Source organism: Homo sapiens, chromosome 5 (assembly GCF_000001405.40).
Source record: "Homo sapiens chromosome 5, GRCh38.p14 Primary Assembly".
In the NCBI taxonomy this organism is placed as follows: domain Eukaryota; kingdom Metazoa; phylum Chordata; class Mammalia; order Primates; family Hominidae; genus Homo; species Homo sapiens.
The window spans coordinates 148703483-148720584 of record NC_000005.10 but is presented as its reverse complement, the minus strand read 5'-3'; the positions used below and the strand labels follow the sequence as shown (position 1 = coordinate 148720584).

Sequence of the window (17102 nt, the reverse complement as noted above, 5' to 3'; positions counted from 1 at the left end):
ATGAAGCTCAAAGCATTTGTTTGGTATCTGAGCAAAGAAACTCTTTGAATGCTCTGATATATAACAGTGTCACCAGACACCTCACCAAATGAAGTAGCATTTTGTTACTGATAGAAATCAGCCAGAGGAAAGAGCAAACAGATGAGAATAGCACCAAGAGAAATGCAGGGAAACAGAGTACCCTAATCTTAAATCAGTGCCTGAAGCTGACATACCTTTGAACTCATCAGTTAAGTGAACCAGAAAAAATAAATTCCCTTTATAGTTTAAGCCACTTTGAGTTGAACTTTCTTTTATTTGCAGCCAAAAGTATTGTGGCTGATTCAAATGTCCTCTGTAACGTGATTCAGCAGAACACAATTTAGGAAGCATGAAAACAGGACAATACCATGAGATGATAATTTCTAGCAAATGTGTGTGTTATTAATGAGCAATTGAAAGAACACAAAGGTGAAACTTAGAAGAGTTTCTGAAGACAAAGAATTCTCAGATTAGGGTGCAATGTGCTTATTTTAGCTTGAAGTAGAAGTGGAAAACTGCGTGGAGAAGAGGGCAAAGAGGTCATTGCTGATTACACACGTTGCTCCAAGTTCTCAATTCTGTACTCTTCTTTGGTTAGTGCTTCTCACTGCCTTAACTGACCTTACAGGACTTCAACAACTGCCTGCTTAACTACATGTCCATTACTAGCCCCCTGTGTTCTCTTAAAGTCCAGACCTGTATCACAGAGGCGTCTTCCTACAGTCATCATTTGACTGGTAGGGGGCTTAATTAATTAGCATTTGTAAGATGTCTCCAGCCCGTTAGTGGATTAGAGGTAATTTGGAAAGCAGCGCCAAGAGCTTTCTATTACCTTCCTCTCTGCTGGTCTCTTTTCCTGCTTCTGGAGTAACTGGCATTGATGTTGACTCAAATGAACTTAAACTTGTTATCCTGTCTCATTTGATTTTTCATTAAATAGATTCCAAAGTATCCCAGAAACACTTTACAATGATCAGTCATTTCTCCTACAGACTAAACAAATTCAATGTTAATGAATAATGCAGTTTTATAATTGCACAAAGGGTGAAGTGTTTGAAACCACAGATAAAATATCTTGGATTCTTAGAGTTTTCTTTTATAAAAACCCTTCTCCTGTAGCCAACTTGGACATCATAGCTCTCCCATGACCGCCACCTAGTAATCCCTTCCTCACACTTAATGAACGCTTCCTTGACAGTCATAGAATTTAAATGTTTTGTTCTTTTTTTCATACCTTGATTGAATATTTTTTGTTCTGTTCTTATTTAGCCACACAGAGAATGATGCAATTAGGAAATACATTTGGGGGCTAATAAGGAAAGCTTGAACCAATACGGTTTAACAAGATGAAGGTTTGTTTTTTCTCATATACAGGTAGTCTGTAGGTTGACTTTCTATAGTTGTAGAAGTGGTTCTAGGATACCACCTATGTCCTAGACTGCTATCTTTTTATTCTGTCGTCATTAACATGTGACTTCCAACTTCAAGGAGCAAGACAGACAAAGTAGCTCCAGATATCAAGTCTTTATTCCGGGCAGGAAGAGGGAGGAAATATGGAAAAACAAAAAAGAGCCTCTTACCCTTCCTGAAAGCCTTATCCAGAACTTAGTTACCTGGCCACTGCTATCTTAAAATGAGGCTGAAAAAAGTAATTTTGTATCAGTGCACACCGATATCCCTGACAAAACTAGGTTTCTATTCTGAAGGAGGAAGGGAAAATGGGCATGAAATTGGTAATTATCAGCTTTTGCCACACAGCACTTTTTGACAGTATGTCTTAATAATCCTTAAGTCAATAATAAGTTACAAAAATAAGTGAAATACACACCTACCCCAGTGGTCATGGGCCTTTTGGGGTGCTAGATGACTTAATAGAGTACAGAGATCATTTTATCTGGAAGAATATTAATAAATCGTTATTTGCCACATGGTACCCAGCAATGACAAAAAGTAGATGCAAAGGGAGAAAACTTTTTAAAATCTTTATTAGCGTAGCGGAAATACTAACTTTCCTAGGCTTCTTCCTGCAGGTTCACCTGCAATTACTCTGAAGCAAAAGGGACTGGTGTTCCTTGTCCAAGAGCCCTGTCTAATCTATTATTCTTCTAGTTGGATTTTTGTTAGCTACTATATGTTCTGTACCATATTAAAGGTGGGTTGCTTCATGAGTTAAATATAAATAGGACAGCACCCCAACAGGGGAAGCAGAAGGCCACAGTGGGATTCTAAATTTGTGTCAACAACAACAACAATAACAAAACAAATGATACTTGTTGTGCAACTATCTAGCCATTGGCCATTTTCAAAATCTTTCTGCCTTAGGGAGATAATGACAGATTATTTGGGGTTGGAGGCAGTGTAGGGAAGAGATGGATAGGAGAAGACTAGGCAATTTTCTGAGTTTAGTGTAAGAAAAATGCCCAGTAGATAGAAGCTTAGCAGGTATTCAGTCAATGCTCGTTTCCTGTACCCTTTGTGATTCTGGAGCTAAGAAGTTTAGAAACTACCAGGGAGTTAAGTTCATGAAAGCATTTCATCTCCACTAAATTTTGTACCATCATCCAGAAGTAATGAAGCAAAATTGCTGAGATCCTTTTCACACCAGGGATTAGAAAACCTTTTCTCTGCCATCCTTTAGTGGCTTACTATGTAGCATTTGTGGCTTAGATCTTACCCAGAAACTACTTCCATCAGCAAAATACAGCATCCTGCGATCCTGTCACCTACTTTTTGCCTTCTCTTGGCTCTAACAGATGTTGTTTTCAGGGAGCCAGAAACAGAACCAATGTATCCTTTGATTCACTTAAGATTGCGGTTCAAGTTTGCGGAGATGCCATTTTTCCAGTAAGGTCTCTTCATTTGTTTTAGTCTGTTCTCACACTGCTATAAAGAACTACCTAAGATTGGGTAATTTATGAAAAAAAGAGGTTTAATTGACTCATAGTTCTGCAGGCTTAACAGGAAGCATGACTGGGAGGCCTTGGGAAATTTACAATCATGGCAGAAGGTGAAGGGGAAGCAAGCACCTTCTTCACATGGCAGAGCAGGAGAGGCAGAAGGTGAAGGGAAAGCAAGCACCTTCTTCACATGGCAGAGCAGGAGAGACAGAGAGTGAAGGAGGAAGTGTCACATACTTTTAAACCATCAGATCTCCTGAGAACTCACTATCACAAGAACAGCAAGGGGGAAATCGCCCTCATGATCCCGTTACCTCTTACCAGGTCCTTCCTTCAGTATGACATGAGATTTGTGCAGGGACACAAATCCAAACAATATAATTCTACCCCTTGCTTCTCCCAAATCTCATGTCCTTCTCACGTTGCAAAATACAATTAACCCTTTTCAACAGTTGCCAGTCTTAACTAATTTCAGCATTAACTCAGAAGTCCACAGTCCAAAGTCTCATCTGAGACAAAGTAAGTCCCTCCCACCTATGAGCCTGTAAAATCAAAAGTAAGTTAGTTTCTTCCAAAATACAATAGGGGTACAGGCGTTGGGTAAATGCTCCCATTTCAAATGAAAGAAATTGGCCAAAACAAAGGAGCTACAGGCCCCATGCAAGTCTGAAATCCAGCAGGCAAGTCACTAAATTTTAAAGCTCCATAAAAATCCCCTTTGACTCCATGTGTCGTATTCAGGGCACACAGATGCAAGGGATGGGCTCCCAAGGCCTTGGACGGCTCCACCCCTGTGGCTCTGCAGGGTACAGCCCAGGGCGGCTGTTTTCACAGGTTAGTATTGAGTGCTTGTGGCTTTTCCAGGTGCATGGTGCAAGTTGTCAGTGGATCTACCATTCTGGGGTCTGGAAGGTGATGGCCCTCTTCTCACAGCTCCACTAGGCAGTGACCCAGTGGGGACTCCCACCTGCCAGTCTCTTTGCTAAAGCATAGCAAGAGTGACCTTTACTCCAATTCCCAATAAGTTCCTTATCTCCATCTGAGACCACCTCAGCCTGGATTTCATTGTCCATGTAACTATCAGTGTTTTAGTCAAAACCATTTAACAAGTCTCTAGGAAGTTCCAAACTTTCCCACATCTTCCTATGCCTCTGGGCCTGTGATGGGAGGGGTTGCCTTGAAGGTCTTTGAAAGGCCCTGGAGACATTTTTCCCATTATCTTGGCTATTAATATTTGGCTCCTCTTTACTTATACAAATTTCTGCAACAGGCTTGAATTTCTCCCCCCAAAATGGGCTCTAATGGGTTTTTCCTTTCTACAGCATGGCCAGGTTGCAAATTTTTCTTTTTCTTTTTCTTTTCTTCTTCTATTTTTTTTTTTTTTTTTTTTTTTTTGAGACTTGCCTTGTCACCCAGGCTGGAGTGCAGTGGCACAATCTTGGCTCACTGCAACCTCCACCTCCTGGATTCAAGGGATTCTCCTGCCCCAGCCTCCTGAGGAACTGGGATTATGGGTGTGTGCCACCACACTCAGCTAATTTTTTGTATCTTTAGTAGAGACAGGGTTTCACCATGTTGGCCAGGCTGGTCTCAAACTCCCGACCTCATGATCCGACCACGTCAGCCTCCCGAAGTGCTGGGATTATAGGTTTAAGCTACTGCAACCGGCCTGGGCTGCCAATTTTTCAAACTTTTATGATGTGCTCCCACCGTGCCCCTACCACACACACCTTTTTATTTTTGAGATGGAGTCTTGCTCTGTCACACAGGTTGGAGGGCAGTGGCACAATCTTGGCTCACTGCAACTTCCGCCTCCCAGGTTCAAGTGATTCTCATGCCTCAGACTCCCTAGTAGCTGGGACTACAGGCACACACCACCATACCTGGCTAATTTTTGAATTTTTAGTAGAGACAGAGTTTCACCATTTTGCCCAGGCTGTTCTCAAACTCCTGGCCTCAAGTGATCTGCCCACCTTGGCCTCCCAAAGTGCTGGGACTGCAGGCATGAGATACCATGCCTGGCCCTCTGCTTCCCTTTTAAATGTAAGTTCCAGTTTCAGATAATCTCTTTGCTCATGCATTTGAGTGTACACTTTTACAAACAGCCAGGTCACACCTTGAAGGCTTTGCTGCTTAGAAATTTCTCCCGCCAGATGTCCTAAATCATCTATCTCAAGTTCAAAGTTCCACAAATCTCTAGGGCAGGGGTACATTGCTGCCAGTCTATTTCCTAAAGGATAGCAAGTATGACCTTTACTTCAGTTCCCTACAAGTTCCTCACCTCCATCTGAGACCACCTCAACCTGGACTTCATTGTCCATATCTCTCACTATTAGCATTTTGGTCTAGACCACTTAACAAGTCCCTAGGAAGTTCCAAACTTTCCCACATCTTCCTATTTTCTTCTGAGCCTTCCAAATTGTTCCAATCTCTGCCCATTATCCAGTTCCAAAGTCACTTCCACATTTGTAGGTATCTTTATAGCAATATCCCACTCCTGATACCAATTTTCTATATTATTCCGTTCTCACACTGCTATAAGGAACTACCTGAGACTGGGTAATTTATGAATAAAAGACGTTTAATTGACTCACAGTTTCACAGGCTTAACAGGAAACATGACTGGGGGGACATCAGGAAACTTACTGTCATGGCAGAAGGCAAAGGGGGAGCAAGCACCTTCTTCACATTGCAGAGCAGGAGAGAGAGGGTGAAGGGGCAAGTGCCACACACTTTTAAACCATCAGATATCAAGAGAACTCACTCACTACCATAAGAACACCAAGGGCGAAAATGCCCCCATGATCCAATCACCTCCCACCAGGCTCCTCCTCCAATTCAACATGAAATTTGGGCAGGGACACAAATCCAAACCATATTACCATTCCTGTCTTCTGCTTATGCTATCTTAGAGCAGCCGTCAGTGTACAAAGTTCAGAAACAGTGTCATTGTCTGGGGAGAGCATATAGAACTGAAACTTTATTTCTTCCCAGAGACATATGCTGTTAATTAAAGGCAGAGTCTAAAGATTGTACTCAGTGTATGCATTGTCACACTGGAGAAAACAGAAAAATCCACTAAATATATTCCAGCTTTATGTCAATCATTGCATGTGTGAGGGTAAGTAGTAAACTGTTTGCTCTATACTGTATTTAACATGAGGGATTAATATTTGCTTAAAATCCTTCAGTGCATCTCCAACTCTTTGGAGAAATTCCAAATTCTCTAGCATACCCTCCAAGACCTTTTGTGACCTGGCCTCTGGTCACTCACCTTTTCAGCCTCATATTTTACCACCATGTACCTTATAATCTAGTCAGACCAAGCCAATCATAATAAAAGTCACATTTTCAGCCAGCTGCTATACAAAAACTTCACCATAAACCCCATTTAGCTCAAAGTGAGAATTCCTGGAAATGGAATTGCTGAGTAATTCATAAAGAAAGATCTGTGGGGCATAGATACTTCTGAACATTGTTCATTTTTGAGTGTGGTTCCATTCTTTTCAAATTCCTTGAGCCTATCATGTGTCTTTAATCACAGTTTCTACCAATTTTTCTTAATTCAATTTCTGGTTGATCCTCTTGTGTTGCAGCAATGTCCTTCATCCTGTCCCAGGTCTGCAATCAACCTGTGGTTGAAGCTCCCATTTGTAACCTCTGAGCTGCAGTCATTTCCTTGGAGTCTCTGGAGCTGCTGTGACACTTGCATTTCAGATTGACACTTGCAGATTGACACTTTTCCCTAGTCATGATTAGGGAGGTCCATCACTGTCACCTACCCAATCTTATGGGTCAATGCTGCTTGCTAGAATGCAAAAATAAATGACAGAAGGGAAACTAATAGCTCACTAAATTACACATCTGGATGGATAACCTCTATGCAGTCTGTTTTTGAGCTTTCATTGGCTAAGAACAAATACATATGTGTATAAAGAATGCTGCAATGAATTCATTATATGTAGCATACCATAATGATTTATATGTATATGCAGTATTTTAATAAAAATATCTCACAAACCTTATAGCAAAGCAGCAACTTTAAATAGGGTATAGCTGTACATACATTTTCTAATTTAGTTCTCACAAAAATCTTGGGATTTAAATAAATGAAATTAAATAATGTTACTATTGTACATAAGGAAAGTGAGGCTTAAGATTACTTAAGTGATTTATTTAAGGTAATATATGGTCGAGGAACTCAACCGCTATATCAGGAATACAAAACTGATAGCTTTGGCTTTGAAACTAGTCATGGATTTATCGTTGTTGTTTGGGGGAAGAATGCAGTAGATTTAATTTTTATAATTTTAAAATATTTGAATTAACCAATAATTTCATATGTATAAACCTCAATACAAATCTGGATTTCCTTTGAAAAATCAGAAAATATGGGACACAAGGTCCTGCCCACCATCGATCACAGAAGCTATGGAGAGGTTGCCCTTTCCAGTGGGGCATGTTCTACTAGGTTAACCATAGTCTAAGTTACTCTCTCTTGTCTTTCCCAGGATTCAGCCTACTTCACTCATTCATATAACCTGCCTGGCTCCTGTGGCCATTTGAAGTTAAGAAGGCTGAGTAACTCTCTGTCTGTTTCTCTCTCTCTCTCTCTCTCTCTCTCTCTCTCTCTCTCTGTAGTTCCTCCAAAGCACTATACTTTGCCATTTCCCCCCTTCTCAGTCGCTCAACTCTCCATTCTATTATTTATATTCAACCAATACAATCCATCTTGTTTCCTGCCTGTCTATCACTATCACTCCCTCTCTCCAACACTTTCCACCCCTGCTAACTCTGGGTCTGCCTCTACTAGCAAACCTCTCTCTTAGTCCTTCCTGCAGTGTACTCTAACTGTCCCCTAAATTTATTATTCACACAGCCTACTGATAGCATCTCCATTGCTCTGCTTACTGTAGCTCAGTAAGAATTCGAATGAATGGATGAGTAAATGCATGGATGGATGAATGGGCAAATGTATGATTTGTTGACTTGAACTCAGGTGGAAACCACTTTCTACTCTCCCTTTCCAGAATAGAAGGAAGTGAATATTAAAAGCTATTTCTAGTGACCTGCCCTTGACTTTTGACCAGAGCATAGCGTATGCCTGAACTGTTGTTGGTCTACTCAGCAAGTGTTTCTAAACAAAAAAAATATCCAGGATGAAAGGATACAACATTTGTTTTCCTTACCAAAGGATCTCAAAGCAATAATATTATGATAATTTAATATTAAAAGGATATTAAAAAACAGATACAGCTGGATGGTCATTTAGTTTTTCAGAATTAAAAAGAGCAAGCTCTAGGATATTAATCACGAAGTACAGTTGAGTGCCAAATTTAGCACTGAACTTCTAGTAGTGACGACAATTTTATTGCACTGAAGAGAAACATTTATTAAACAAGACATTACACTAACCAGTAAGTTAAAAAATGTCTCTTTATCTAAAATATTTTCAGTGACTCTTGTTTTAACTAGGCATTCTGCCATCCGCAAATAATGATATTTTACATACACTTTCACAACAGTTAGACATTTTTCTTCCTTTTTAACTTCTTGCAATTGCACAATTCACCAACTCAAAATTGATTATCAAGTTAAATGCTGCCCTTTTTTGTCATGTCCTTTATAAAATAATTATGAAAGCAATTAATTCATATCATTAATAAAATGAAGTGAAAGGCTTGTAATAGAAAACAGCTGTCTCTTGTCCTTCTTCCCCAGTTTCTCCCTCTTATGGCAATTGTTTCAAACCATTTTAGCCATCTGTTCTTTTAATTAAAAATATTTCTAAATGCTATGTTTTTACTGCTTTTTCTTTACTTATTAATTTTAAATATTACCTACTTGACTCATTATTATGATAAATGTTGGTTCAACTCTCTTATACCATCCTTACTTCCCTTCCTTCCCTCACCTTCTCAATATTTACAGTATTTTTCACTATTTTTAAAATAAAATTTGATTCCAGTCTTTTTCACTTTTGCATACAATAGCCCCTAAAAGTCTCCCTGCTTCTACCCTTGTCTCTCAACATTCTAGTCTCAACACAGTAGCCACAGGGCTTCTTATAAAATGCAAGGAAGATCTTGTACTTCTCTAATCATAACCTTGCAATGGCTCTTCATCTCACCCATAGGAAAAGGCCAAGTCCTTACAACGTCATTCAGGGCCTGCATGCTCTGGCTCTCATTGCAATCTAATATAGTCTCTTCTCCCACTCTCCCCTTTGCCCACATCCTTTCAGTCCTGTTTGTTTTCTTGCTATTTGTTAAGGAGTTCAGTCATACTCTTCCCTTAGGGCCTCTACAGAAGCTGTAGCATCAGAATGAAATACTCTTCTCCCAGATATCTATAAGGCCAACACCCTTACTCTCTCTCAGGTGGACTCTCAGACAGTCCTCCTGTCTCTCAGTCTGTTAAGCCTTTTTTTTTTTTTTTCCAATAGCACTTGCTGCCTTTTGTATTAGTTTATTTTCACACTGCTACGAAGATACTATACTATCCAAGACTGGGTAATTTATGAGCAAAGGAGGTTTATTTGACTCAGAGTTCCTCATGGGGAAAGGTGAAGCAGGCACCTTCAAAAAAAGGAAGGAAGAACTTCCAAACACATATAAAACCATCAAATCTCAGGAGAACTCATTCACTATCATGAAAAAAGCATGGGGAAACCACCACCATAATCCAATCATCTTCCTCCCTTGACACTTGAGGATTACAATTTGAGATGAGATTTGGGTGGGGACACAGAGCCAAACCATACCACCTTCTAACCTACTGAATTTACTTAAATATGTCTTCAGTTTATTGTCCGTATCCCTACTCTTAGCGGAATACAAGCTGTATGAAAGCAGAATCTTCGTTTTGTTTACCAAAGTATGCCACACATCAGCCTAGCATATAGTAGCTGCTCAAAAAACTGGATACATGAATGGATCTATATGATGACTTAATGTGACAGTCTGTAGGGCCAACTGTAATATTATGTCAATTTCATCTTTCTTGCAGTTTACTTTTTCTCCAAGAGTTTGTGATTATCTCTTTCTTCTCCTGTATCTGTCTGCTATCCATATATTCTTCATTACAAATGTTTTATAATATCAGGGTTTTGTTTTTAAGGAGAATGACTGATGCATCTCTAAGTTTAATTTCGGTTTTTAGTAAAAGTTTGTTATTGTGTTAAGAGAATATTCTGAAACTATTCTTAAACAGCTTTATTGAGATATAACTCACAGATCATACAATTCTCCCATTTAAAGTGTACAATTCAATGGTGTTATTAGTTGAATCATGACCCCCCCCTCCCAAATTCTTGTGTTGCAGTTCCAACCCCTAGTACCTCAGAATGTAACCATATTTGGAGATAAAGTCTATCAAGAGGTGATTAGGTTAAAGTAAGGTCAGTAGGGTGGGACCCTGATCTAATATGACTGTTGTCCTTCTAATAAGAGAAAGTGACACCAGTTACCCATGTGCACAAAGGGATGACTATATGAAAACAAAGTGTCAAGAAGGTGGCCAGCTGCAAGTCCAGAAGAGAGGCCTCAGAGGAGCCCCAACCTTGCCAGCACCTTGATTTTGGACTTCCAGCCTTCAGAACTGTGAAAGATAAATTTCTGTTGATTAAGCCATACGGTCTGTGGTATTTTGTTACAGCAGGCTTAACACAGTAATACAGATGGTTTTTAGTGTGTTTATAGATACATGTTACCATCATTAAAGTTGATTTTAGAACAATTTTATTACCTCAAAAAGAAGCCCCAACCCTTAAGCTATCACCACCTCCCATCCTCCGTATCTACTTCAACCCTGAACCTCCACTACTCTACTTTCTGTATCCATGAATTTGCCTATTCTGGACATTTCATGTACTTATAGAATGTGGTATTTTTTGACTGACTTCTTTTACCTTCGCATGTTTTCAAGATTCATTCATGTAGCATGTATAGTACTTCATTCTTTTTCATGGCCTAATAATATCCTGTGTATGAAGATAACACATTTTGTTTATCCATTCATCAGTTGATGGATATTTGAACTGTTTCCACCTTTTGGCTATTATGAATCATTCAGCTACCAACTGTACAAACTTTTGTGTGGACATATGTTTGCATTCTCCTATTCAGTCATGCATCTCTTAATGATGGGGATGTGTTCTGAGAAATGCATCTTTGGGCAATTTTGTTATTGTGGGAACATCATAGAGGACACTTACAGAAACCTAGATGGTATAGCCGACACACCCCTAGGCTCTGTGATATAGCCTATTGCTCCTAGGCTACAAAGCTGTGCAGCATGTTATAATACTGAGTACTCTATGCAATTTAACACCATGGTAAGCGTTTCTGTATCTTAATAATAAATGTATCTAAACATAGAAATGGTATAGTAAAAATATGGCATTATAATCTTATGGGGGAACCCCTGTATAAGTGGTCCATCATTGACCAAAACATTATTATGTGGCATATGACTGTACACCTAAGAGTGGAATTACTGGGTCATAAGGTAACTCTATGATAAATTGTCTTAGCAACTCCCACACTATTTTTCACAGTGGCTGCACCACTGACAGTGTATCAAGGTTCCATTTCTCCACATCTTCACCCACACTTGTTATGATCTGACATTTTGATTGTAGCCATCTTAGTGAGTGTGAAATGCGATTTCACTGTGGTTTTGATTCACATTTCCTTGATGACTAATGTCAATTATCTTTTTGTGTGCTTATGAAACATTTATAAATCTTCCTTTAAGAAGTGTCTGTTCAGGTCCTTTGTTCACTTTTAAATTGCTCTATTTGTCTTCTTTATTGAGTTGTAAGACTTCTTTATGTATTTTGAATACAAGTTTCTAATCAGATACTGACTTGCAAATATTGTCTCCAATTTTGTGTGTTGCCTTTTTGCTTTCTTGATACTGTACTTTGCACCACAAAAGTTTGAATTTTGATGAAGTCCAACTTATCTACGTTTTCTTCTGCTGCTTGTAATTTTAGTGTCATCTTTAAAAAATCTATTATCAAATCTGAGGTCATAAAGATTTACCCTTATTTTTTCTTCTAAGAGTTTTATGATAATTTAAGTTCTTAAATGTAGGCCTTTAATCCATTTTGAGTTAATTTTTGTATATGGTAGGAGGTAGGAGTCCAGCTTTATTTCTTTGCATTTGGCTATCCAGTTGTCCCAATACTATTTGTTGAAAGACTATTCCTTCCTGCACTGAATGGCTTTGGCACCCATGTCTAAAATCACAGACAAGAGCTTATTTCCTGTGTTCAATTCTATTCTACTGATCTGTATGTTTATCCTTATGCCAGTATCATACTTCCTTGATTATTACTGTTTTCTACTAAGCGTTTAAATAAGGTAGTATACATCCTCTTACTTTGTTATGTTTCAATATTGTTTTAATATCCTGGATTCATCACAATTTTATATGAATTTTGGAATCAGCTTAATTTCTACAAAGAAGTTAGGTGAGATTTTGGTGAGGTTTATTGCCTATTTATTTGTGAGTCAGTTTTGGTAGTTTGTGTCTTTCCAGAAATTTGTCTATTTCATCTAAATTATTTTATTGGCACGCAAGTAATCATAGTATTTCTCTATAACCCTTTTTATTTCTGTAAGGGAGGTAGTAATGTCCCTTCTTTCATTTCTGATTCTAGTACTTCGAGCCTTCTCTCTTCTTTTTCTTGGCCAATAAATGCTAAAGGTTTATCAATTTTGTCAGTCACTTCACAGAACGAGCTTTTGGTTTCATCGATTTTCTCTATTGTTTATATAGTCTCAATTTCATTAATTTCTACTCTAATGTTTATTATTTCCTTACTTCTGCTGGCTATAGGTTTAGTTTGCTCTTCTTTTTCCAGTGCCATAAGATGGAAGGTTGGGTTACTGAATTGAGATTATTCTTTTGCTTTAATGTAAGGATTAACAGCTATTTTTCCCTTTTAAAACTACTTTAGCTACATCTTGTAAGCTTTGGTATATTGTATCTTAATTGTCATTCATCTTAAAGTATTTTATGATTTCCCTTTTGGTTTATTCATTGGTCCATTACTGATTTAGGACCATGCTATTAATTTCTACATTTTTCCCAATTATAGTCAGAGAACATATTCTGTATTATTTATATTCTTTAAATTTATTGAGGTCTATTTTATGTCCTGGCATATAATCTATCATGGAGAATGTTACATGTGCACTCAAGAAGAATATATACTCCTAATTTGTTGGGTGTCCTATAAATAGCTATTAGGTCTAGCTAGTTAATAGTGTATTTCAAGTCTGTTTCTTTGTTGATCTTCAGCCTAGTTGTTATAGTCAATTTTTAAAACGGGATATTAAAGTCTACAACTATTATAGTTGAGTTGTGTATTTCTCTCTTCATTCTTGTCAGCTTTTGCTTCATGTATTTGGGTGCTATTATTAGTTGCATTCATTTATACTTGTAAATATATAGATTTACAATTCTTCCTGATGGGTTGATTCTTTTATTTTTATAAAACATCTCTCATTACTTCCAATTACAAAAAAAACACATTTTTATGTTTTCAAGTTTATTTAGTCTGATATCAATATAGCCACTTTAGCTTTCTGGTGATTTCTGTTTGCATGATATATCTTTTTTTCATCCTTTTACTTTCAATCTATTTATATCATTAAATCTAAAGTGTGTCTTCTGTAGACAGTGTATTATAGGTCTTATTTTTAAAACCCAGTCTGACAACATCTTCCTTTTGATTTGGTTGGATTGTTTAATGCATCCACATTTAATGCTATCATTAATATACTTGGATTATGTCTGCCATTTTAAATTTTGTCCTCTGTATGACTCATGTTGTTTTTGTTCTTCTATATTTTCTTCACAGGTTTATTTTACATTGAGTGAATATTTTCTAATGTACCATTTAAATAGCTTTAATGACTCTACATGCATTTTATTATTTCCTTGGTGGTTGCTTTAGAGCTTATCATATACATCTTATCAGAAACAACTTCAGATTTATAAGTAGTTTAATTCCAGTGAGATATAGAAATGTTACTTCTATATAGTTCTATTTACCTTTCCTTCTCCTTGTGGTATTATTGTTATAGATATTACATCTATAAATGTAACAAGCCCAACAGTATATTTTTATAATTATTAATTTATATAACTTTGTGTGTTTTAAAGAAGCTGAAAAGAGAGAGGTGTATATTTGTAGCAAGTTTGTCCAACCTGCAGCTCGCAAGACACATGTGGCCCAGGATGGCTTTGAATTACGCCCAACAAATTAGTAAACTTTCTTTAAACATTATGAGATTTTTTTTTTGCAATTTTTTAAAGCTCATCAGTTATCATTAGTGTTAATGTATTGTATGTGTGGCCTGAGACAATTCTTCTTATTCCAGTGTGGCCCAGGGAAGCAAAAAGATTGGACACCCCTGATTTATAACTTTTCTTATATTAACCTTCTTATTTATCATTTCTGCTTCTCTTCAACTGTTCTTATGGATTCAAGTTAACATGTGCAGTCATTCCCTTAACTCGATACAACTTTGATTCCATCTACTTCCTTTGTGGTCTTTATAGGTAAATGTATCATATTTCTATAAGTTATAGGCCAAACTTATACATGCTACCCACATTGTTTTATACAATTGCTTTTTTTCACATTTTTAATTTTTTTATTTCAATAAGTTTTTGGGGAACAGGTGGTGTTTAGTTACATGAATAAGTTTGTTAGTGGTGATTTCTGAGATTTTGGTGCACCCATCACCCAAGCAGTGTACACTGTAGCCAATGTGCAGTCTTTTATCCCTTGCTGCACCCCAACCTTTCCCCTGTGTCCCCAAAGCTCAATGTGTCATTCTTATGCCTTTGGATCCTCATAGCTTAGCTCCCACTTATGAGTGAGAACATATAACGTTTGGTTTTCCATTCCTGAGTTACTTCATTTAGAATAATAGTTTCCAATTCCATCCAGGTTGCTGCAACCACCATTGTTTCATTCCTTTTTATGGCTGAGTAGTAGTCCATGGTGTGTGTGTGTGTATGTATATATATATAACATGTTATATATATATATATAACAATTTATATATATATATAACATGTTATATATATATATATAACAATTTATATATATATATAACCAATTTTATTTATCCATTTGTTGACTGATGGGCATTTGGGCTGGTTCCGTATTTTTGGAGTTGCAAATTGTGCTGCTATAAACGTGCATGTGCAAGTATCTTTGTTGTATAATGACTTCTTTTTTTTCTGGGTAGATAACTTAGTGGGATTGCTGGATCAAGTGGTAGATCTATTTTTAGTTTTTTAAGGTATCTCCACACTGTATTCCATAGTGGTTGTACTAGTTTACAGTCCCACCAACAGTGTAAAAGTGTTCCCTTTTCACCACATCCATGCTAACCTCTTTTATTATTATTATCATTATTATTATTGCCATTCTTGCAGGAGTGAGGAGTATTGCATTGTGGTTTTGATTTGCAATTCCCTGATTATTAGAGATGCTGAGAATTTTTCCACATGCTTGTTGGTCATTTGTGTATCTTCTTTTGAGGATTGCCTATTCATGTCCTTAGCCCACTTTTTTATGGGATTGTTTGTTTTTTTTTCTTGCTGATTTGTTTGAGTCCTTTCTGGATATTAGTCATTTGTCAGATGTATAGATTGTGAAGATTTTCTCCCACTCTGTGGATTTTCTGTTAACTTTGCTGTTTCTTTTGCTGTGCAAAAGCTTTTTAGTTTAATTAAGTCCTATCTATTTACCTTTGTTTTTGTTGTATTTGCTTTTGGGGTATTGGTCATGAAGTCTTAGCCTAAGCCAATGTCTAGAAGGGGTTTTTTTTGATGTTATCTTCTACAATCTTTATGGTTTCAGGTCTCAGAGTTAAGTCTTTGATTCATCTTGAGTTGCTTTTTGTGTAAGGTGACAGATGAGGATCCAGTTTTATTCTTCTACATGTGGCTTGCCAATTATCCCAGCACCATGTGTTAAATAGGGTGTCCTTTCCACACTTTATGTTTTTGTTTGCTTTGTTGGAGATCAGTTGGCTTTAAGTATCTGGGTTTATTTCTGGTTTCTACATTCTGTTCCATTGGTCTATGTGCCTATTTTCATGCCAGCACCATGCTATTTTGGTGACAATGGCCTTATAGTATTGTTTGAAGTCGAGTAATGTGATGCCTCCAGATTTATTCTTTTTACTTAGTCTCCCTTTGGCTATGTGGGCCCTTTTTTTTTGGTTCCATATGAATTTTAGGATTGCTTTTTCTAGATCTATGAAGAATGATGGTAGTATTTTGATGAAAATTGCATTGAATTTGCAGATTGCTTTTGACTCTATGGCCATTTTCACAATATTGATTCTACCCATTCAAGAGGAAAATTCATAGCATTAAATGCCTACATCAAAAAGTCTGAAAGGGCACAAATAGACAAACTAAAGTCACACCTCACAGAACTGGAGAAACAAGAACAATCCAAACCAAACCCAGCAGAAGGAAAGAAATAACAAAGATCAGAGCAGAACTAAATTAAATGGAAACAAAAAAAATACAAGAATAATGAAACAAAAAGTTGGTTCTTTGAAAATATAAATAAAATTGATAGGTTAATCAATAAAATAAGAGAGACGATCCAAATAGGCTCAATTAGAAATTAAATGGGAGATATTACAACTGATACCACAGAAATACAGAAGATTATTCAAGGCTACTCTGAACACCTTTATGTGCATAAACTAGAAAACCTAGAGGAGATAGATACATTCCTGACAATATGCAACCTTCCTAGCTTAAACCAGGAAGATCTAGAATCTTCAAACAGACCAATAACAAGCAGCAAGATTGAAATGGTAATAAAAAAAATTGCCAACAAAAAAAAAAACTCCAGGACTAGATGGATTCACTGCTGAATTCTATCAGACATTCAAATAATTGGTACTAATCTTATTGACACTATTCCAAAAGATAAAGAGGGAATCCTCCCTAAATCAGTCAATGAAACCAGTATCACCTTAATACCAAAATCAGGGAAGGACATAACAAAAAAAGAAAACTACAGACCAATGTCCCTGATGAACACAGATGCAAAAATCCTCAACAAAATACTAGTAAACTGAATCCAACAGCATATCAAAAAGATAATACACCATGATCAAGTGTGTTGCA

The 17102-nt window shown here is 37.1% G+C and overlaps 1 annotated feature.

Annotated features, from left to right (window-relative positions):
• Positions 491-1062: an enhancer, noted in NCBI's record as "NANOG hESC enhancer chr5:148099086-148099657 (GRCh37/hg19 assembly coordinates)". NCBI's record gives its function as "activates a minimal SCP1, AML or CMV promoter by ChIP-STARR-seq in naive H9 embryonic stem cells {active_cell/tissue: H9 hESC(naive)}" and the evidence as "EXISTENCE:reporter gene assay evidence [ECO:0000049][PMID:30033119]".